Source organism: Homo sapiens, chromosome 15 (assembly GCF_000001405.40).
Source record: "Homo sapiens chromosome 15, GRCh38.p14 Primary Assembly".
Lineage (NCBI taxonomy): Eukaryota > Metazoa > Chordata > Mammalia > Primates > Hominidae > Homo > Homo sapiens.
This window is the reverse complement of record NC_000015.10, coordinates 67,766,389-67,790,579: the sequence shown is the minus strand read 5'-3', so window position 1 is coordinate 67,790,579 and position 24,191 is coordinate 67,766,389. Positions and strand designations below refer to the sequence as shown.

General features: G+C 40.9%; 1 protein-coding gene across 3 annotated transcripts in view, besides 2 other annotated features; it reads right to left on the bottom strand.

Moving 5' to 3' along the window:
- Positions 1–24,191, bottom strand: part of MAP2K5 (mitogen-activated protein kinase kinase 5) — a 264,412-nt gene that overhangs the window by 16,535 nt on the left and 223,686 nt on the right. For all 3 annotated transcript variants that reach the window (NM_145160.3, NM_002757.4, NM_001206804.2), the window contains 2 exons: positions 20,917–20,978; positions 17,828–17,873 (listed from right to left, as the gene is read on the bottom strand). In NM_145160.3, coding sequence (NP_660143.1) covers positions 17,828–17,873; positions 20,917–20,978 — 108 coding nt within the window. The remainder of the gene's footprint in view (positions 1–17,827; positions 17,874–20,916; positions 20,979–24,191) is intronic.
- Positions 7,828–8,663: an enhancer, noted in NCBI's record as "NANOG-H3K4me1 hESC enhancer chr15:68074255-68075090 (GRCh37/hg19 assembly coordinates)". NCBI's record gives its function as "activates a minimal SCP1, AML or CMV promoter by ChIP-STARR-seq in naive H9 embryonic stem cells {active_cell/tissue: H9 hESC(naive)}" and the evidence as "EXISTENCE:reporter gene assay evidence [ECO:0000049][PMID:30033119]".
- Positions 18,798–19,073: an enhancer, noted in NCBI's record as "heart enhancer 7". NCBI's record gives its function as "activates a minimal c-fos promoter by transgenic reporter assays in zebrafish embryonic heart {active_cell/tissue: heart(embryonic)}" and the evidence as "EXISTENCE:transgenic organism evidence [ECO:0001131][PMID:20075146]".

The following is a 24,191-nucleotide window of genomic DNA, read 5'->3' as shown; positions in this document are numbered from 1 at the left end:
AGAATGAGCAGACTTCTGGGTTTAGAATTCCATGTAACTAAACCACAAAATAGAAAAAAGGAATCCCAACTGTTGCACTTGTGCACAGCCTACAGACAAGACGGCAGTGCCCTCAGACAGCATTTCAAATACAGTTTATTAGTGTGTGATATGAAAAGGGTATTTTTATTGCATGATATAATGCAATGGGACCTTGGGCGCTCTGTGGAAAGACCTCACACTCAGAAGTGTAATGAACCCGTAGTCCCAAAAACATTATACTGTACATTAACCTATCATTAATGGCACATTAGGGCTAGGGGCATTGCACGCTTGCTGGTCAGGGCTCCATCAGGACAGTGTTGAGAAAACCACACAGTCTTCCCAGGCTTAAAACAAATAGAAAAAATAAATATTCCTGATGTCTACAGGCTGCTTTAAAGGAAGTTCAATCCAGCTCTGCCTTGCAATTTCCAAGCCTGCTTTTTTAAGAGTGGAAGAAAGATACACAACCAAACAAAGGGAAAAGAAAACGACTCTCTTGTAGTTTACCCCCAGCTATTGGCTATTCAACCTCAATGTTGCTTGACAAGGTCATGAGCAAATAGCACCTTGGTAGTGTAAAAGCTGCCCAAAGGACACTCGGGCCTGGACCACAGACTGCAGAAGTGGGATGGGGCCTTGGAAATTGTGTCCACCCCCTTCACTGTCTAGATGGAAAAATCAATCTTCAACAAGATGAAGGAAGAGACAACACATTCAACAGAAAAACAGGCAAAGAATGTGAAAAAAAAAATGTGACCAACAAACATATGAAAGAAGTGTTAATCCTCATACTTAATAAAATAAACATAAATTAAAATGATTAGATCCTTTTTTTTTTTTGAAACAGAGTTTTGCTCTTGTTGCTCAGGCTGGAGTGCAATGGTGCGATCTCGGCTCACTGCAACCTCCACCTCCCCGGGTTCAAGCAATTCTCCTGCCTCAGTCTCCAGAGTAGCTGGAATTACAGGGTCCCCCCACCACACCCAGCTAATTTTTGTATTTTTAGTAGAGACAGTGTTTCACCATGTTGGCCAGGCTGGTCTCGAACTCCTGACCTCAGGTGATCCACCTGGCCTCCCAAAGTGCTGGGATTACAGGCGTTAAGCCGCCACGCCTGGCCAACTAGATACCATTTTGCCACTGATTAGGTTGGCAAAGATTAAAATCTGATAATTTAGTATCAGAAGAGATGAAGAAGAAGAGCTAACATTCTCATATCCAGTATACAAAGATGTATACATAGAGACACAGTCACTGTCTTAATAACAAAAAAATATGGAAATGGTCAAAATATCCTATGACAGGGTCCTGGATAAATAAATATGATACATCCATAGTATGGAATACTATACAGCCATTAAGAATAAGGTTGATCTTTATATTATATGGAAAGACCTCAATGACTCACTAAGTAAAAAAGCAAGGTGCAGAATAAAAAGAATTAAAAATTCTAGAAGGATACCCAAGCTACTATTAACAATGCTTATCTCTAGAGATTAGGGCTGGAAGATATGGAGGATTGGAAGGAGACTAACTTCTTACTGTATATCCTTCTGTACTGTGTAATTTTTTTTTTTTTTTTTTGAGACAGGGTCTCTCTCTGTCACCCATGCTGGAGTGCAATGGTACAATCATGGCTCACTGCATCCTCTACCTCATGGGCTCAAGTGATCCTCTCACCTCAGCATCCTGAGAAGCTGGGACTACAGGCAGTGCCACCATGTCCAACTAGTTTTTAAGTTTTTGTAGAGACAGGGTCTCACTATGTTGCCCAGGCGGGTCTCGAACTCCTGGGCGAAAGTGATCCTCCTGCCTCAGCCCCCCAAGAGCTAGAATTAAGCATGATCCACCATGTCTGGCCAAATTTTTAATCATAATTTAAAAACTAGTTTTAGCAAATAAATATGGATGATGGCAGGAATAAACATTGCTTATGAACCTATTATTTTCCAACTACTATATTAAGTGCTTATGTGCTTCACCTTATTTGCCTTTTTACAAAAACAGTAACAGTAAATTGGTCACTATTATCCCCTTTCCATGCAGTGGGTACTAAAGTTTCCAGGGGTGAAGTAACTTGCTCAAGGTGACTCTCTTACCCATCTACCTTCAATAATGAAGCAGAGTATTTATAAAATAGAGAAATACTTTCCAAACTTAAGACAGCCTGAGGCTACCTTCCTGGGGACAGCCTGTATAACCCAGCAGTGATACAAGGAGGTGAGTGGAAGGCAGGACAAAAGGCTGCTGACTGGCTGAGGCCAAATCAAATTTCTGGAAACATCTTATCTCCATATAAAAAAAAGGGGAGAAGGCCTGGGGGCCCCAGAGCTATACATTGTTTAAGTAAATAATGCTTGCAACCAGGGACTCAAATATATAAAGCAAAGTAGTTCCCTAATTACATATAAATCAACATCAAAGGCAACACACTTGCAGGTCCATGAAGAGGAAGCTGCCTCAGACCAGCAGAATTTCAAGGTGAGATCAGGGGCTGAGAAGTATCCAGAACAGTCTCCACACCTTAGGACGGTGCTGTGCCAACAAAGTTTACTGTTTTCTCATTCCTCCATTTTTTCCCAATTTTATTAAGAGCCTTATTATTTTTGGGTAATAGACTGCAGTAACATTTTTAAATGCTAGATTTTATTTGTCCTAGGGTCTGCCAGCACATGCTGTAATTAAAATGTTGATTAGTAAACAGTTTAAATATATGACAGACAATGCAGTTAAAGCCTACAGTTAGGTCAACATGTGATTTAGATTTGCCATTTAAAAAATCTCATTTAAATTTTGCATACATTAATCACTACCATACTTCAAGGTTCTGATATCCACCTGACTACAATATTAAAATAAAACTTGCTGCCCCAGGGAAATCCTACTTATTCTTAATTGTTTCGAGGCTTTGATGGGCTTTTAATCTAAGATTAATTTATGCAATTTTAAATAACTCTTCTTATGATTAATAAGCTTGAAAATTAAAAGGAGTCTAAAGCAATTATAATGAGCATTTGGTCATAACCTCATTAGAAGAAGGAGTGAAGGATACAGCTCTGGAATTCTTACAAGACTACAATTTAAGGTTACTTTTAGAGAAGTCAAACATAGTTCCTGAAATTGCAAAGGCAGGTTAGCAAAGGTCAGTGTTAAAATGACGGCTAGCTAGATTAGCATACTAATGATTTTCCCTGATAGTGACAGAAAGGACACAGAAAAGAAGATGCAGAAAGAGAGACAAGTGACATGCTGCCAAACAGCTACAAGCGCTGAACTCGGTTTCCCATCCTTTTGGCTAGAGACCTTCGCAAAATTTGAGAAACAGCCAAAGGGTTAGGACATTCCTATGCACGAATCAGCTTCAGCCAGAGGGTCTGGCCCACCAGGGGCAGGCGGAATCAGTCCTGTTGTCCGCCCTGCCTGCCTATCTATCATTGAACAGCCACTTCCCTGCTTAAGAACCAACAAGTGCGTCCAACTGCCCCACTACTCTCTGGTGTGCACAGCCCTTCCAGATCACACTGGCCCCATGCAGCTAACTTTACCCCATCATTTCCAAGGGTCTTTTTTGCTTTGGCTAGGGTGGGTTCTTCACTGTCCTTGTTCCCTCCGGTCTCAGCCTGTGCCATTTTCTCTCCCTGGAATGTCTTCCCTCTTGTTATTAGCAGTGATGATGATGACAATGACGATAAAAATGGTTACCATTTATTGAACACTTATTTTATGCCAGACACTGTGCTAAGTGTCTAACATTTTTATCTCACTTAAATTTCATGCTTTGCGATACTCTATTTTTGTAGATAAGCAACTAGAGGTGGAGAGCGTTCAGTAACATGTTGCAGGATGGACAGCTAGGAGAGGAAGGGAGAGGGAGGGGAGAAGCTGGCTTTCTGTTGTACCACCACTTTCCAAGTTCTGTACTCAGGCCCGAGCCAGGCATCCTCACTGACTACTACGGCCCCTCGGCCACTGTTCCGAGCTCCCGCACCACCCAAGCCAGCAGCTTGGCACTCATCTACCTTCTCTAAATGTTGCCAATGGGCATGTCTAGTCTGCTCCTGAGACATAGGTCTTTCTTATATTCTTTCTGAACCCATCATGGCACCTCACAGACCTGGACAACAAATACTTGTTGATTAACTGGTTTACAATAATTCCCTCCAACAAGATGCTCATTACATTTTACCAATAATAAAGGACAGACATGAAAAGTTATGGCTTCCAGTGAGTGGGGAGGAATGTGCTTCATCTTGTTTGGATTTTCAACCACAGAGACCACCCCAAGAGACTACCAATTCAGTGTACACCAATTGCAAACATCCGACATACATATAATTTATTCTAAGTCACATTAAACTTCCCTAAACACATGTATCTTCCAAGAGGCAACAAGCTGGAAATACCCAGGAACATCAGACAGATGAGAAAATCATGACCCAAAGAGGCTGAATGACCTCGTGCCCCATGTATGTCTCGCACTTCATAGTTTACAAACACTTTCATAACCTCCATCTTCTGTAAGTTAAAAAAAAAAAAACAACCTAACAGCTAAAAGCCCCCTGTGAAGTTGGTATCATTACCCCATTTTACAGATGAAGCAGCTCAGGCTCAGATGGGCTAAGTAAACAGCTGTTGCCTGCCCAGTTTCCTAGAGGTAGTGCCTGTACTTGAAGCTATATTTTCTGACATCCAATTCAATCTCTTTCCAGTTTCCCAGGTTGCTTCTTGGCTCACATTCACACGATAGACTGATTTGCAAGCTTTGAAAGACCATCCTTAGCCTCTCCAGGCTTTACGCACAACACATCCTGCCAGTTGTCAGATCACAAACCCTTCTACCTTTCCCCTCCTTCCATCAAGGTCATAGGATGAGCGAGGTCATGGCTCCATGCCAGGTCCCCTGCTGCCTCCACACCTCCAGCACCTGTGTTGGTGTGGACATCTGTGGGTTGTCTTCTCCTTGCTGTTTCCCCTCTCCCTTCAAGATGGACCCCGATTGTTTGGCTTCCTGTTTGTGTGACCTGACTACTTTGTTTGCATGTATGATGGATTTGTGTTTGCTGGATTAGTGTCTGATAGCCCTCTGTATTCCCTACAGCTGTGCCACTCAAGTAGTCGTCCTGTGAACTGCTTGCTGCTGGCCTGCAATGATACAAGTAGCCATGCTGCAATGTGAACCGCAAACAGCTTTCTTCGCTCACAACGTTTTGCTCCAAAAAGCTGAACTGAACTAAACAGAATGCTTTCAGACAGGCTTGATTTATATCCTGGCACAAATTCCTTATCTTCCTGTGTTTAAGAAACAGTTCGGGGCCGGGCACGGTGGCTCACACCTGTAATCCCAGCACTCTGAGAGGCCCAGGCAGGCGGATCACTTGAGGTCAGGAGTTTGAGACCAGCCTGGGCAACATGGGGAAACCCCGTCTCTACTGAAAATACAAAAATTAGCCATAGTGTTGTTCATGTGTAGTCTCAGCTACTCAAGGAAGGGCGGGTGCTGAGGTAGGAGGATCACCTGAGCCTGGGAGATTGAGGCTGCACTGAGCCAAGATCGTGTCACTGCACTCCAGCCTAGGTGACACAGTAAGACCCTGTCTCAGGGAAAAAACAACAAACAGTTCAGATACTACCACTGGTGCACAGCCCATACTCCGAGTTCAGCTAAACACGAATGTGCTCAGTAAAAAGTTTGTTGAGTTAAAGGTAATTTCTCCCAAACTTGAGGAACATCATCTCTTGGAAGTTGCCCATTTCTATACCCATGATGGCAGAAGTGGAAAGGCAGAAAGGTTTGTGACCAGACAGCTGTCAGGACACACTCTGCCCTCAGTTTTTGCCAAAACCAAAGAAACAATGATTACATAAATTCTCACAGCTTCCCCTCAGATAACCAACTAACAGACCAGGTGCAAACTGTTGGTAATTACTTCCTCTTTTGTGTTTTGTCTCTACTGAGGCTCAGGCTTCAACCAGGCCACCCTGCCACCTGGGGATGGGTGGAGAGTGTGTGCAGCCATCTGCTCTCTGCCTCGACCACGGCCCTGCAGATGCAGCCTGTGGCATCAAGGTGGAAGGGACCATAGGGAGGGAGTTGAGCAAAGCATCCTACAGGGGCATTGGCTTCACAAGCACACTCTGCTGAAATCCTACAAGTTTGTTTGTGTGGTCCTGTATTTGTATTTAGCTTTATTTTTCTAACTGCAAGAAATAGTTTGACTTAGCGGAAATTCTCTAAACCACAATAACAATCCTCTGCCTACTATGCAACAACGGGTGTAGCTTTGATGTTGTGCAGTAGGACAGTCCTGTGTTTTTCCTGGCTGTGTGACTCTAGGCAAGGAAATTAACCTCTCTGAGACCCAGTTTATGCATCAGTAAAATGGGAATAAGAATAATCCTTATAGTGTTCATGTGAAGGTCAAATGAGATAACTTAGATGAAAGAATGCTCTAACTTAAGTGTTTAAAATGTTTTATGTTTAGATCCATTTCTCTCTATATAATAAATCAATTTTTTAAAGATTATAAAACAGGATCCTTTCTGGATTCATCTTCAGCCCCAAGTTAGGTGCAATTGTTACTTCAATCTCTTCAAGTTTGTTTAGAGAAAATAAATTGTAGTATGAATACTGGCTAGTGTGGCTATTAGAGGCTCTGGTACTTTTACTTATGATATAAGCTGCCTTTCACATCTGTGTGCAGAAAAGTAATATACTCACATAAATACCCAAATGTCCGTGGGTCCCAGCTCACCTGTCACTCCATTCTCAAAGCCTCCCCAGATACCCCTAGCAGAAATTCATTTCACTTGTTAAATTCATATCATTTAAATTCAATGACCATATATTTGAGCATTCTACTCAGGCTGGAGACTGGGCTAGATGCTAAGGATACAAAGATAAGACATGATCTCTTCCTCGAGGGGTTGTGGTCTCTTTTATTGACTGTTACCACAAGTTACTGCCACAAAGCGTGACGAGTGCACTAACAGAAGTATTAGCCAGGGTGAAGGGTGACAGGCAAAAGGAAGTCCTCAACCCAACTGAAGCACGCTTAGCAAAGCTTCACAGAGGTTGTGCCAGTTGGGTTTCGGAGGTGGAGAAGTTCACCATCTGGCGGTGAGAAAACAGCACAAGCAAAGACATGACTGTGTGAGGATGCCTCACGCATCTGGGGACTGCCAGAAGTTTGGAGCACAGGACTCCACAGGAGTGGCCTGAGGTGAAGGGGTAGGTGAGGGTGGGAGGAGAAGGTGAGCGGGGGTCTCTGGCAATTCTCACATTCTATCCTGTGCTTGGCTGTGTCTACCCTCACCTTCCTCACTGGACTGTGAGCTGGCTGGGGGGTCAGGACTTGGGGCTGACATGCTGCCTCCTCGGTGTCAGGCAGGATGCTGGGCACAGAGCAGATGCTAAGACATAAAAATGGCGAGTGCAGACTGAAATGCACATCTGTGATTCCCACATCGGCTTCTCTCCATGTCTCACAACAGTAGAAAAGGCTTCTGCAATACAAATCTGCACCAGACGTGCAGTGGGTTATAATTCAGCCAGTCCCCTAAAAGCCATCCTTACACCTTCCTTCGGTGCTTAACCCACTTTCCAGATGATGCAGCACTGCTGCCTGCACAGGAGAGCTGAAAAGGGGGCCGTTTCTGAAGGCAGGAAGGAGACAGCGCCCAGCCGAAGCTCTGCTGACCTCCCTGACGGGAGGAAAGCTTGTTTTGGAGAAGGGACTTTCCAGTCCAGAGCTGGTGCCACAGGCCCTGCATAAACCAGCATTCCAGGGTTGCCGATCTGCCTTCCCCAGAGTTAGAGCGAGAGTATTCCAGAGGCAAAGCTGTGGCTTAAAAAAAAAGTCATGTTTAATTTAAAAATTAGAAACTGGAGCAGGCTGTGAGCACAGGGGTTGATTGAAACAAAATTTAAATTCCTGTCAAGCCCGTTTAAACACGGGGGCCCTTCATAGACAATTAGCTGCTCCCTGTGAATGCTGAATAAACTCAGGCCTGGTCACTGTGAGAAGAGAGGCGCCTACTGTGAGGCGCTGAAAAAAAAATTAACTAAAATCAGGCTGTATGAAATATTTAGCCTTCCAGTATATCACAGGGGTTTGAAAGTGTAAACAAGACAAAAATCGATTCCTCGGTGCCCTCAAATCAATCCCCCAAAATGGTTAGGGCATCTGTTTCTGCTAAATTTTGTTTACATCGGCAGATTTGCCTTAATTGCAGTTGTTTATCTCTCATTGTCCCTGGGGCCCTAATCTCCCGATTACTAATACTTAACACTCATTTCACATCTAAAGCTACTTCTAATCCTCAACAGGTTTTGGGGGCTCTTAAAATTATTGAAACCGCAGAGGCGGGAGACACTGCCTCTTTGTGAAAGGAACATTTTCTTATCTACTACCAGCTGGGCCCAATCATCACCAGGGATGGCTACAACAAAGGTGCTAAAAGGCTCTTCCACAATGACTGCTGCTCCACTGGGGATTCAGAGGATTAAAAAAGAGCTTTGATGGAAAAATCTGAACAAGAGGCTAAAGCAGTCCAGCCAAATAAAGTTACTGTCATAATCAAATGCTGTCAATCACCATGAAAATCCAATTAAAAATGTTTCAGCACAGCCCTCTTAAGTGGAAAAAATGTACCCTATTTATACAAATTTTTGTCAATGCCACACCAATCCCACAATTAGAAAGTCCTGCTATTAATTGAATCCCCCTCCCCCTCAAATTTAGAAAGAGATGCAGGCCATTCAGAAGCCTTCTGAGGAAGCTAAGACACACACAGGCTAACAATTAAGAGTCAATCGGGTTACATTTGAAAATTCCATTTTCATTTGTGTCAAGGGAACTTTTGCACAAATAAATGAATGGTACCTATTCTCCTACTTCAGAATCAGTGACCATTTATATGAAGAGACCAGAGAAACGGTAAACCACGATACTGGAAAGAAACTAGTCCACACTCCAGCAAATGTCTCTCGGTAGACCAAGGCCTAACGTTTAATTCTAATCTTGAAAATTAAATAGAGGACGGTAGGCCCAAATGTCTCTACTGCCTTTCTGCAGTCTCTAAATGGCCAAGTGAACCTCAAATTATCTGCAGGCAGATTTGGCCCCCCAAATAACTCTGTATCCGAAACCACAAGACTCACAATCCCCAAAGGTCTCTCTCAAAACTGCTACAAATTAAAAAGCAAACAACCCATTAAACAAATCCAGCTGGCACAACTGTAAATAGGAGCTTTCTAATATTTTCCCCAGCTCTTAAAATTCCTGGTTAGACTGGTTAATAATTGATAAGAACTGCATCTATTTATCGGTGTGTACTCACAGGAAAACAACTTTGCTACCTTCAACAGCAATTCCCAAATCCCAGGGACTAGCTTTAGGATCCTTTTATATTTCTCCCACAAACGGCTGAATGTCTCTGATCTTTTTCAACTGAATCCATTATTCCCAAGAGCTGGGGAGTGGGTGGCATGCATCTGATGTGCTGACAGATAAAAACCTTCGGGTCCCCTGTCATCAATCTAACAGGCAAAGATGGTGCTAGCCAGGAGGTCTCCTCTAGGTTTTGGCTCTCTAATAACCTCTGGATGTGGAGTTACTTGCTTGAGGTAAATTCTCAAGTGGTCAGAATGCATACCAAAGATCATATGTGCTGCTGATCACCACCTGGTCAGCACCTCCTAGCTCTGTCCATACATCCAGGGTGGGATGGCTAAACCCTGGTGTTGGTTCTGAACGGTAATCCTCATGCTATACTGGTTGTTAAATGTTTTGAATATTATCCCTGCAAATATTGGAACATCCTAGAAATTTTATTATTTTGGCACCAAATTTTCTAACCTAGATGACCTCTCCTAGCAGGAGGTCAAACAAAAACCTTTTTTATCTGGCCATGTATTCTAGCGTGGCCACCCTAATTTATACTGTATATTGTAATGTCCAGGGATTGCTTGTTCTTGGATTAGTTTCTTCAGCTTTACTCTGAGTTCCTGGAGAACCAGATACATGTCTTGTTTGTCTATCTGTTTAGTGTCTACTTTATCTGCACAGTGTTTTACTGGATTGGATTAGAGAGAATAGCATGTGCAACCAACACTGTTTTGCCTAAATGACAGCAGACTAGGATAGGCACTGAATTATAAGATCATGATCCTCCTTCAAGGAACTTACAATCTAGTGGAAGAAAAAAGGTATTAAACCAGTGAGTTTCCCCTCTGGCTGTCCTTGTAATCACCTAGAGAACTTTAAAGGTTAAAAAAAAAAAAAAGTATCTGCTCCCTGGCCAGAGCTTCTTTGATCTAGGTTAGGATCCAGGCATTTTTTTCTTTAGCCTTTTAAACCTCTGAGGTAACTCTGATGAGCTGCTAGTGTTGAGAGCCGCTGTACTACATGGACTAACTTGTGGCCATAAGATGAATATATAATTAAATGCTGTTCCAACCTAGACACAATACATGCTGAAGGGCTTCAGAGAAGGAAGCAAGCAACTGTAAAGTCGAAGAGTAGGGAAAAGCCGCAGGGAGGAGGACCAAGACCTTCCAGGGGAGGGGAGAGGAGGCTCTTTTAGGCTGAGGGCACCACCCAAATAACAGAAAGTTCTAGTGAGCTGAGTCATGGCCAATGAGGAACTAAAGTGTAACATACTTTAAAGACCCACCTTAGCCTCCCGCTGCCGCAAATCTGGCACGGCACTGAAGAGCAGCCCAACTGATCCACTTTACTGCATCCAAGATAACCAAACTCTTCCTGTGCTCAATGAATGCTACACAGCTTCACTGTGCCTTGAAACAAGATACTAGGAAGATGACAGTCCAATAAAACACGAAAGAGGCATTAGAGACATGAGTTCAAATAACTACAATCTTAAACAGGCAAGTCATCATCATACTAAGAGATCTGACTTGACTGATGGAGGAAAAAAGCTATGCTTAACTGGGAGATTAAAACTGTCAGATCACCATGATCAAGGAATGACAGACTTTATCTATATCTCTCTTGCTATGCGCATGCATATAAAGACATATACATACACACACATATTTATCTGCTAAAGTCTTGTGAAAAGATTAAGTGGTCACATCTATGGAAAAACAAAGCCTGTTTTCTTAGGGTTATAATCTCTCTGTTCTTGCTGAAGTGCTAATGTGTCATCAAAAATTCAAATTAAAGCTGTCTGATTTAGTGCGATCTCAAGTATCCAGACAGTGATTCTGCCGATGTAATTATATGCAATTAAAAAGCTAAAATCAACTTCTTTACTAGTGGGTTCCTCTTTATAAGCAGACACAAACAGATGATTTTAATGGCCTTCAGAACTTAAAAAAAAATTCCATGGTTGTCAGCTGGACCCTACGTGGGGCCCCCTTGCTGTTGTGATGACTTTTGTGCATGATGGAAATACTCAGCTGAAGTTACAATCCCAGCCAGTATTTCTCACTGCAAATTCTGGGCGGCATAGCTAATGAGCTACTTCCAAATGAACAACTGAAAACAAAATGATGTTTACAAGAATGAGTGGCCAGACACATTAGGAGTCTGGCCCTAAAGGTTCATTTTAAAACACACTTTATATGACACAGGCAATACCTAACTGTAGTGAACTACATCCAAGTTCACAATTTATTAACCATCATTAGTATTTTAAAAAGCTTAGATTTTTGCAAGCACAGGGTGGATGAGCACTCTCTAAGGGGGCTATGGAAATGCACCTTTCTTCATATTTGCGCTCAGGGCACAGGTAAGCCCCGGATCAAAGTAAACCGAAACTTATCTTTGGCATGTTTAGTAGAATGTGGTGATCATTTTGAATTGATCTGAGCCCCGTGCTTCTAGTAAACAGTAACAGGTAAGAAATCCCCCTACCCTTCTGCTAACCGCAAAGGATCACCCTGCTCTCACAGAGGTAAGATCCTTTTCCATCTTTCCTCGTGACTTCTCTAAGACTTGCTGGTGACCCCCTTGTTTACCTGCCTTCATAAGACCTCAGAACCCTCCCTTTTCTTTGAGCCATTCCTCATTAATAAACACTCTCCCTACTGCAATAGCCCTAAATAAAATCATCTTCTTAATTGTCCAGTGCATTTTGTCTTTCACAGTGATCAGAAGATTTGGGTCTAACAATGAAACAAAGCCATTTGGTGTGAAGCCCAAAGTCACACTGGAATTTGAGTGTTGGAGAGACAAAAATCTAACATCATGGTTACCCTGATTTTTAAAGGGACCACGCAGATGTGCAATTTATCATATACCTTGATTAATTGAGAGAACAACCAACCATACTATCTGAAAATGTAATTACAATCAGGTTTGGAAAAGCAGAAAAGCTACCAGTGACAATTTAATTTAGAGGAGTTAAACAAGTTAACATCTCTTAGTAAGTAATTAAATGTTTAAACAGATTTTTCTAGAGCAGTTTGGTGTTTATTAGCCCCCAAACATTACCACCTCTTATACATAAAGCCTTAGCTGAGAAATGAGATGCCTTCAAGTTTGCAGCTGCTGGGATGACATGAAGGAAAAAAATCCAAGAGCGCTATTCTGATTTTAACTGATACCCCGCCTTCTAGGACCCATGCCAACTTGTTGTATTTCTAATGCCACTATTTACTTGCTGTCTAAGCAAAATGTCAAATTTCAATTGCAAACTGCATCCTGTGTTTCTTTTTAGGTGCCTAAATTGAAAACCAAACCTGAGGAAATGCTAAATGCCTTTAAAGGATGTCCTACTCTGGAATGTACAAGGAGATGCACAAAATAACAGGCATTACTAGAACCTAAGGAGAAAACCCATGTTTTTAAACAATTACTAAAGCAGTATAGTAACAGCATAAAGAAAATTTCTTCGCCAGCTTGTTTCTCTGAAATTCTCGCTGCCACTGAACAGCTAGAACAGATAATAACTATTAGTAAATCAAACTCCTCTGCAATATCCAGCTGTGCCTCACGCATTTACATACAGATAGAATGGGTATATGTTTTTAATATGTATGTGATACGTACTTTTACCACAGCCGAAGTGCATGCTACAAAGGAGGGGGAGAATGGGAATCAGATCAGCATGAGATAATAAAGTGGCCTAGATAAAGTATTAGCCAGCGATTGATCTCAAACCGGGATGCTGCTTCTTCTGACCTGATTACTTACTATGCATAGATTCCATTAAATAGAGCTTAGACACTGAAAGCTTCTGGAAACACTCTAAATGCATAGAAAGATCTACCGTACTCTGAGCCCAAATTGTAACTGTGTGGGTGCCCACAGCCCACACCTTCCCCGTTCAAGTTAAGGCCCACAATCAGGCTAGGCAGGGAAGTTAAAGGGCTGCCTGACAGCTGGTGCAAAGCCCTGCTGAACCCCATAGAAAGCACCCCACCCCACCCTCAAGCAAGCACTCTCCCGCTGAGTGAACACTTCCCTCCCTACAGTCAGCTCCTGGCCAAGTAACTCTAAAGGACAGAAGCAAGGGAGCTTAACAATCATTGAGGGTCAGGGTCCCCTTTGAAAAATGTAGCAGTCATGAATTCCTGTTTTTGGATGAAAAGAAACATCTCCACATGCATAGATAACTTCGGATGTAATTTCTGGGGTTCTGACTTCCTAAAGTCACAGACCATTGGTCAAGGGCTGCCCCCTCGGTTTTGCAGATGAAAAGACACTGAAGTGGAGAGGGGATGGGGAGTTGGCTGAGGTTACACAGTGAAGGGATGTGATGGAGGTTCTCCCGGCTAAGTCACATCCTGACCTTAGCTACCAAATAACTCTGAAGGATGATTAATTCCTCAGAAGGAATTCCTTGTGGTTTAGAGAAGCAAATGGTCTATACAGTAATATCTCACATACCCCTTTTATTTAAAAATATTTAAACACAGAAATTGAATAGCAAAACCAACCTGAACCCCCATCTTAATGCTCTCATCTTAGGTTGTCTTTGTCCCTGAATTTAAGGGTCTGATTTTTATGTTTTTGCATCCTTCCATTTGATTATTGACATTTAAGGGAAATTTCTCTACCATCTTTGCATTATCGCTGTCTCCCCTCTTGCTGCAGTCCCACCAATCCTTTCTGACTGGCAAGGGGCTGGCTTTTTCCCACATAAGCCATGGAATCCCTGCATTTTTCTGAAGGCCTGCTGGACATTCTGTCTGCTACCTCCTCAGGGTCTCTACTGTCTGAAAATTTGTCCCTAAGTTTGTTGGTCCCAGTTCACAGAGCTGGGGCAGCACTGACACAGGTCTTTCCTGGGAGTTGCAGCAGCGTGATTTAAAAGCAGATTATTTAATAATGGAATCATTATCCAGGAAAAGAATTGGAGGCAGAAGTGGAGGTGGGGGTGGGGGTGGGGTTCTACCTGTCTTCTGTCGGTATGCTGAATGTTCTTGGCTGCCTGCACGCTTAGTTTACCTTTAAAGCAGGGTTTAAAGCTGACTCCTGATTTCTGCAATAGGCTCTTAAAGAATTGAAAGTCACACCTTTCCCAAGGATGAGGGACCTCCCTATACATGAACAGGAGACCATTCAAGAGAATTCACTCAAGAAAAAAGATCCATGTGGATAAGTGTGGTGTTCCCAGGGTTCCTTGTATAGAAGTGGAATGTCTTAAGAGATTGCCCAGCTGGTGGTGAATATGTTGCCTGTTTGAACTCCACCAGGTCAATGTTGAAGAGGTTTCTGTTCCAGCAGGCACTAGAGGCTTCACATTGCTCTGAAAATGTCTGAAACCGAGATACACTCATGCTTTGCCCATCCTGTTTCCTTTGCCTGGAATGGCCCCTTCAAAGCTCTCTATTAAAATTCACTTCATCCTCCAAAGGCCCTTTTCAAATGCTACCTTCTCTACCCAGTTTTTCCTCATTTCCCCAGATGGATCTCCACAGAACCCTGCAGTTCTTTTATACTAGTTACTTCATTCTAGTTATTTGTATACTTGCTATAGCTCCAAAAGATTATCTGTGTGGCTTCCTCTACTTTATATCTTCTGCTGAGTCTAGAACAAGACTGTGCACAATGGTATATCAACTAACAAATTCAATTATTTAATGGGGTCTGAAATCTCTTAGGATGATGCAGATGCTGATAAAACTTTTGAGAGCACTTCTGATGTAGCTTCATGGCTACATGCCAGAAAACCACAGCAGCTGAAACGTATCCTGGCCTCCCCAAAATGTAAGCAGTAAAGGAATTTCTTGGTCCAACTTTAAAATACTTCCACTTAGGATATAAAGACCGAAAACCATCATAAGAACAACCATACAAAGTAGAGGGGATAAAATATCTAAACAACTAAATGAGTTCTAACACTGATATTTTAATGGTCTCCAAAGTCTAACATTGAGTTTTACATTAATCTTTAAGACTGACATGGTCAAAAACTGCCAAGATGATGATTTTATGATTCGATAAGGGGTATTCTGGTATAAACAGTGACCTCACCACCTAAGTGCCCACTCTGCATGGCCCAGACCCAGGAGTAAGGGTGATCTAGCCCACCAGTCCTACATTCTGATTTACTTAGGCTGAGACTTGCTGTGTTCGCTGGTCAAGGTCACACCTGGAGTTCATATAAGAGTTCCCAAATAGTGAATCTATAACTTCCAGTATTTCCAGCTGCCCATCTCTAATTTTCTTTCTTTGATTTGGAAATGGAGGCCTACAGGGAAACCTTGACAATCCTGCAGGCCTCACATTTGAAGCGGCCCATGCAGCCCATGCTGGTACCCTGCTGGCTGGAGTTACCATGCTTGGGAGATAAACTGCTCTTTTTGTGAAAGGCACAGGCCCCCACCCAGGTGACAAATGGGCTCTATAGTTCATGCATTCCAGAGGAGTCTCTCGGCTTCCAGATGGGAGCACCATCAAATAGGTTGTAGGTGGGAAGAGAAAAGGAAAAATTAAAGCCATTAATATGCTGGAAGGAATAAAGAGGCTGGTTCCTTTAGATTGGGCCCCTAGGATGTGGCTTAAGTTCCTTAAGATAAAGGAAAACCCACTTTCTTTCCCATCCCCTATTGGGCCCAATCTTTTGCCCAAAGTCCAGGCAGGGCTCACTCTCTGACCACAGCAGCTTCACATATAGTCTATTGTTCCCTGCCTCCTCACTGAGCCCTGCCAAAGCAGTGGTGCCTCACCACTGCTATACCTCTGGGAATGCATTCATTTAAAATCAAACAGTGAGCAGTACTAGAAATAATGTTAAATTAAGTATGGAATGGTGCTTCCTGTGACAACATTTTTCATTGTATTTTATTGATTTATTGATATTTATTAATTTAAAATGTGGGACAGCACACAACAGGGTATAGAGTTGTAAAGAGATATATCTAAATACCTATGTTCTCTCACACACACACACACACACACACACACACACACACATACACACACATCACTTGCTTTCAAGGCACTGAAAGTACTCACCCTTTAGCCTTGTCTTTATGATGTGCCACCCTGGAGTGGTGTTCCTTACCAACATATACATCCATATACATTTATGGGCGTATGTGTGATCTGCAGATGTTTTATTTATAAGTGGCCAACTCATTGCAGCATTGAAACATGCATTTACAAACAAATATCTGTTTTATGAAACCCTATTCCTTTGTTTTAACAGCTGAGCTATCCAGCCATAGCATAATAATGCACAAGGTAAATGGGTCTCCATCTCTAGAACCTGTTCCAAGTTTTCTCAAATGTGACTAACTGCAAGAATTTCCCAACCATCACAGAGACCAAAAAAAGAGACCAGTTTATTCTAGACATGAAACCTGCAGAGTTATAAATTGCAGAGGTTTTTAGGGGTGATCTTTAACTTGAAACTACCCTGAAAACTGAGATTTTGCTCCAGGGAACATGAAGGAGGAAAGTACCTTCCTGGAAAGCATTCATGATGCAAAAAGGAAACGTACTGTTATTTTATATTCAAGGATGAAATCCATATTATAAAGAAGTTGGGGCACTGAAACTGTTTATTAGGTTGGAATACAAAGGACGAAAACCTCTAAACTGGTATCTGTAAAATGCATATTGTTTAAAGAAGGTGAAAGAAAATTGGTAGGAATTTGCTCTGACTGTAGTAATCTAAAGGCAGGGAATGGTATGCAAAACATTAGAAAGAATAGACTATAATTATTATTTACTAATGCTCGATCCTAACGTTATTCTAACAGCTTGTGCATTGTCAAATCAACAATCTGCACTAAACAAATGACCATTTGGGAATTGTTAGGGAGCATCTCTGTTCCTCTCCCTGCTTGACTAAAAACTGTCATTTGCAATCAAAGAAAGCTGCCTTGGAGCTGAGAACACAGCACTCGCAGCCTTGTAGCTGTCTCTTTCTGAGGAAAGACCAAAGATTCACATTAACTTGATCTTTTGCAGCCAGTTTAATTTCATTCTACATGAATCTAAGAGGACTCCATGCCATATTCAGAAATTTTCTGCAGAATTGCACTAAAAACTTATTGCACTGATGATCTTCTGTTACCAATCCTCTGAATTCTAAAAGGTTTAATAGCAAATGAGGATAAAGAGTAACCTACATTAAGTTTGTGACCCTTGATGAGGCAAATGAAAAGAGCTCTGCATTAACTTTCAAAAAGGTGGTGGGTTTTTAAAAAGTAAACACTATTATCTGAGGATATGAGCTTCAAAAACATCTACCCAAATGAAGTAAATAATGTTGCCTTTTCAGAGCCTATGGCTGTTTCAAATTCCATTCTGGACTTTTAAACAGAATGTTAAACATAAATATATAACTGAGAATTCTAATGTAACTAAAAACATTCACTTACCATCAATTCTTCAGGTGCTGGCCTTTCTTTTGGCTGTTTTCGCATACTATAGTGGAGAGAAAAAAACCCCTTATGTTATCTGTGTCATTTGTATATTTTTGCTATAATTTCTACCAATGGCTATTTGTACTGGAATTTGAATGTTTTCAAAATACATCATGTTCAATTCTTGGCCAAAGTATTAGCATATATTCCCTTTCTTTTATTTTGGTCTTTACTTAGTCAGATTTCTGGGGGACATTATGAGTAAGAAACAAAAAGCTTTTTCTTACTTTTTCACTTAAAAAATATTTTGCAACACAAATAAAGAATGAATTTAAATTAAATGTATCCTAATTCTACTTTTGAAGCGAATGTGAAAAAAGCAGCAATATTCTCTTATTGACTCAATTATCAATTTATTTCAAACTTATATTTAGAGAATATACCTTTTTTTTTGGTAATTGGGATAAGACAGTAAGGAAAGAAACATGACTGTAGAGTCAAATGAGAATACATCTCATTCTTTCACTGTTACTCCGAATGACAAGAAGTATATAAAACAGGTCAGGAATCTAGATAATGCTACAAAATTAGAAGTGTGTTGCTATAGATTATCTTGACTTGCATTTGTTTTGGCAACAAGGCAAGTTGATAATTCATTAAACCGCTGTGGGACAGCTAAATTTGTTTAAGCTGCTTAAAGAATCACATTCTTCATGCAAAATATTTCTTGTCTTCCATGCAATAGATATAATTAGTAGCTGTAACATGTACTTAGCTATGTGATGAAGCACTCACACATGGGATGGAGGTGACTGTGGGCAGCTGCCTACTTGATGGCTGTATTTGTTCTAAACTCAGAGTGTCCATGGGATAGTCATGAAAAGAGATTGCTGCTTCTATCACTTGGAAAAATCACACGGATGCTTTTTTCTTTATAAGGCACTCTTCTAACAAGCAAGAAGAAAACTCTTCTTATAATCTCTGCATTTGCTGACAATACTTTTTTAAAAATAGATTTAATGATCATTTGGTAAACAAGAATCGGAGTTATGAACCATTAATGACATCGAGGACATTTGCCTTCCCTATAAATAACCATATGCACCTCTCAAACACTGCATCCATTAGCAACTAATTCAAGCTGTCTCGCCAGTGGAGTTGGTAACAGTCCTAATCTGACATTCCAAAGTAGCTGTATCTCTTGGGAAAACAAGGCTATTACCCACTATCATTTCTGTTTTGGCTTGACATCTGTGGAAATTTGAATGCAGGTTATCCCTCCCTCTGTCTCCATAAAACTTTTAAATAACAGCTGATTAATTTTTTGGACAGGAGGGAGGTGAAGCCTTATCCACTTTTCTCCCTGCTGCTCAGACCAGCCCCACCCCCAGGTTGGTCTCAGACCACACAGCGAGATAAGATTAGCACTGGGATCCTGTCACAAATCCAACATCTCCTCCGGAGCAGAGAGGGTGATGCCCAAACCAGGCGCTCCAGGCAGTAGAGGAATCGCATGGTTTGTGTTTCAATTTTTGCATTTCAAAATGAGGCATTACCATGTGTAAAACACATGGTACACATTACCATGTGTAAAACACATGGTACACATTACCATGTGTAAAACACATGGTACACATTACCATGTGTTTTAAGAATTCCATGTAAAGGAAATTAAGAGGGATATACATTTCTGGGTAATGGTTCTAACATCATTAAGGAGCTTCAAAACAGCTCAGGATTCCAGTGTTTAATCAACATGTATGCTTTTTTCCGACATGGCATGCTTTGGAAATAAAATGTTTTCAGAGTAAAAATAGTTTTTAAAAGCTACACAATATTATATAAGTATTTTAAATAAATAGAAACAGTGTTAATAAAATTTTTTTAATTGGGGAGAAAAATTTCTTCCTCACATATATTTTCTATGGAATATAAACTGCATGAGACATTTTTATTAAGAGGTAACATGTTACACTTAGTCAAAAAGGTGATAAAGCTTGACATTTATATTAAGGAATATTTCTTGGTTTCCCTTTAGCATAATCATCGGACAGATCATAGTGGGAGGGGAAGGGGATGGCACACAACGATTTTGGTTAGCAAGAATCCTGATAACATTACTTTGCCACACCACAGAACCAAGGGTTTCTTCTGGTAGGGTCTGCCCATTCATTTTCCACCAGTGGACATGACTCTGGACTTTGGTGAAGGAGGGAAAGAAGACCAACGTAGTTAAGAAGGAGTTGCGGTTGGTTTTGTCTCCTGCTTTGAGGACAATGATTCCTATGTTCCTGAATTCCTCCTCTCTCCTAGGTAATTCTCTGTGCTGGAGTGAGGGAGAGGGCAGAGGAATACCTGGGCCTCCCAAGGCCACATGAGTCCTGCAGGACGAGGGAAGAGGGGAATGATGGTGAAAGGGGTAATAAAAGACATCTGCGTTCTGCTAGGAGGAAAAAGGCAGAAGGCTGGCAAAGAACCCTTGGCAGTAAAATGCTTGTTTCTTCAGATATAAAATGACAAGGAATTGCCTAGAGGCTCTGAGGGCCCCTGTGGCTCCTCTCAGTTCTTTAAGGGTTAAAGTGGGCTGAACTGTTTTCATAGTCTTCCAAATGTCAAAATTCATTGAAATGGTACCCCAGTATTGTATTTAAAATACAACCAAAGATAAAAGTTATTTACTGAAAATCCGATGAATTAATAAACTATGCTGCTTCCACTAAGTGACAAGACAGTTTTATGGGTAACTTGAGGTTACATTAATAAAAATAAGCTTCGTACGTCCGTTCAGTAGGGGCTATAAAATTGTGTATTTCTTTTTTTAAAAAAGGATGGCAACAGTATTTGTGCTTAAAGAAGTATCATGACTTTCAGCAGTTTATTAAATCAGGAAAAAGGCTCTGAAGTATGCTTATGACCCTTTGTGTAAATAACGTTTACATAATTTAAACAATTTCTTCAGCTTTGCTGCCCCATCTGCCCAAGGCCCCGAAGTCCCTCCTGTCTCCAAAAGGATGCAGGGAGAGCCATAAGGTCTCACGGAGCTGCCGAGTTAATGGCATGTATCATTTACATTGAGGGCATGGCATGTTTGTAAACGGGCTCACCACTGAGTGATGAAATGTACAAATGGCTCCGAGAACTCTCCAACTGGAAGGACGGGCGAATCCTGTGATGGAGGAAAAACATGTCACCAAAAGTCACAACAGTTCCTTCTCTTTCTTTATATTCCCCACCCACCCATGTGAAGGATGAGTATAAAGATGAATACAATGAGAATAAGGCCTCACCCAATTAAAAAGACTGTCTTTACCTTATTCCACACATTTAGGTAAAGATGCCAAATTTAAAGCCACACATATTTTACAATGGTGAGAAACATGAGAGCTGAGAGAGGGGGAGGTGAAAAAAGGACAATGATAGCCACAGGGTAGGAGAGAAGGTAGGGAAAGTGTAAATGAGAAATTAATGATTATTTAAGTAACACACAAATGGTCTTGTAATTAACAAAGAGCTGTGAAATTATTCTTGTGTTGACCTTTGTTTCTTTTACTGGATTTGCTATTTATTTACACTTTCCTTTTTATTTACATTTATTTGTATATTCAACTGCTCTTTACTGTTTGCCCCTAACAGAATAATTTGGATCAATTTTTTTTTTTTACTTTAATAGAAAGGCTTTTATAGGGGAAGTTGTTTCCTGAAAAGGAATTTCAGCCTATTTGCCAGTCTAGGCAGACTCCTCATATGAGAAAGCCAGTGAATTAAGGATACAATGAAAAACTCCCAACTTGACCACCAACCAAAACTAGGATGGAGGTGGGAGTCAGTCAAAAAAGCAGAAAACTACACAGCAACAAACAACCACCACCACATAATACAAAGAGCAAACCCCATTACCGTTTGCAAAGGAAGGCTTTAAGAATTTAGGAGTTTTTCCAAGAATGACAGAGAGCGCCACTGTGTTTATAGTGTAACAGCTCAGGATGTAATAAAATTACACTGCAGAGTACTTTAACAGTCATCTCATTAGACCTACAGTTGGAACAAGAGAGCCACATAAAGTAGGCAGCTGCAAATGACTCCATTCTCATCTATTCTCATTTGCTATTAAAAATACCTTTCGGCGGCTTTTTTCCTCCCTGACATCCCTACACAAAGTGCCCTGCAAAGTATGATACATGCACCTATTTAAATTAACAAAGGAATGACTTATTTTAATCTCACTGTGCTTTGGAGTGCTTTGGCCATTTGGATGAGCAATATATCATTACATACAACCTTCCAGCGCTGCAGGCAAGAAACTCAGAGCATGCAGCATTTGGTGGGAGCCAAACAATTTCTCTAGCACACAACTGTGTCAAATGCATGCATGTATTCATTATTGAGAACGAGAGGAAATAGCTTTGATGTAGTGGAAAAAAGAAGATGATAAAAGCACCTCTGCAATATGCGTGTCATTATCAATGGTGGCAGATAGATACAATTGCACAGCCTCCTATGTGATTAGTAAATATACATATAATTGCTGTGGCCAATTATCAGAAAAATGAGATCGGTAATTACAAGACAGAAAATTAACTAGAACTCTTATTAAGGCTTTGTTTCCAATTCAAACAATTGGAAAGTGCTGGAAAATACAATTAAATCAAAAGGAACTAAGGGGGTCAAGGCAGCCAAAAAACAAACAAAAACAACAAAAAACAGACAACAAAAAACACCGAAGAGGCTACAAGAAAAGAAACATGAACAAAATGTTTCTTGGTTTTTGCATATCTGTCCTCTTTAAATTTAATCTATTCATCCAGAAGAAGGGATGGTTAGCAATTCTAAAATTAAAATTCTCATCAGTAGAGAAGGGTTAAGAGGAAAAGAAAACAAAGGAAAAATGGGAGTGAAATAAAATCTTGCCAAGTTCAAAGGATTACACGCAGGCATTACACAGAGACGACATGAAAAACGGAGGTGGATGGGTGGCTGATCAAACAGTCCACTCAAAAGAAACAAGACACAAAATAGCATGACAAGTCCTCAATAAAGGTATATAAAATGGCCACAGAAGTCCCATCGGTTTGAAGAGCAAAAATAAAACATGATATCAATTTCAGCTGCAGCCTGTTTTAGGAAAGCCATATATATCACCAAGCCTGTAAGATTCTACAAGGCCCAGTTCAAGAAATGACATTTTACTGTCTCAAAAACCATTAGTAAAAAGATAGTTCAAAGTCTGAGGTGTAAAAATGATGGACTCTGATCAGTGAGGAAGCTTCTCTAAGTCATCGCTTCATGGATTTTTTTTGAGGGTGTAGTACTGAAAGTATCTGAGTAGTAGTTGCTGTAAAATGCAATATTTAGGAAAATAAAAGCCTGCTATCTTAATGTCGTTCAATATTTACCAAGATGGTTAAAATTCTGGACTGGCTTTCTATAAAGATCTGGTATAAAACATGATGCTAATGTGGGCCTCTTCTCAAAGTATGATATCAAAAGTAAATTAATGAATTACAGACTAGCAACTTGATGAAGAGGCCATTTAAAAACGGATGAGAAACAAAATGAGGAAATGTGACATCTTGCATGGGTAGTTAATTTTATTTAAGACCTGATATTGTAGCCTGTTAAGTTCCTCATATTATAAGACTAAGGAACACTGGGTGGTACCCATGAATAATTTATTTCCCTTCTGAAAATGCCAGCCCAAGTCGACTTTGCAGAACCACAGCCAGCAGATTCTCATCTCAGTGGTCCCTGGAAAGAATCACTCATTAAAGATATGGGGGAAATTCTAATCTCACATGCACAATGCCAGATATTTATTTTTGTTTTAAAATCCATGTCTCCTGCATCGCTCAAGGGAGAATTTTCTGAGATGCAGAAGACTGAGTGGTAGGGGGATGGTGAGAATGCCACACATAAACACTGGGCAAAGGCGTTTTCTGAGAGCCTCCAACTCCACAGAAGTATGCAAGCTGTTAACACTCCAAAGGAAAGCAAAGGAATATACCTGAGAGTGTTCTCTGCACTGCAGGACTTGACAGTACACTTTTCTCTTTTTAAAGCAAATAAAATTACAAAGTTAGTTTTGATCAGGATGTGAAAGATCTCCAAGAACCTGCCTATTTTGTTATCTAATTCAAATCTGTGAGGAGGGAGGCATACAGTAAATTTGCGCTCCAGTTTCACTGTAGCTCACAGGAAGGGAAAGTATCTAGTCATCCCGAGGAGTTCAGAGACTCTAGTAAAGCAGTTGCTGCTACTTCCCAAAAATGCCCTCTATGAAATATGGGTTCTGGCAAGATGGAGAAATATATTTCAAAAATATAAATGTGGGCTGAAGAAGCAGTTACACTGAATTCTCAGTACTGGCTGACACTGACTCTAA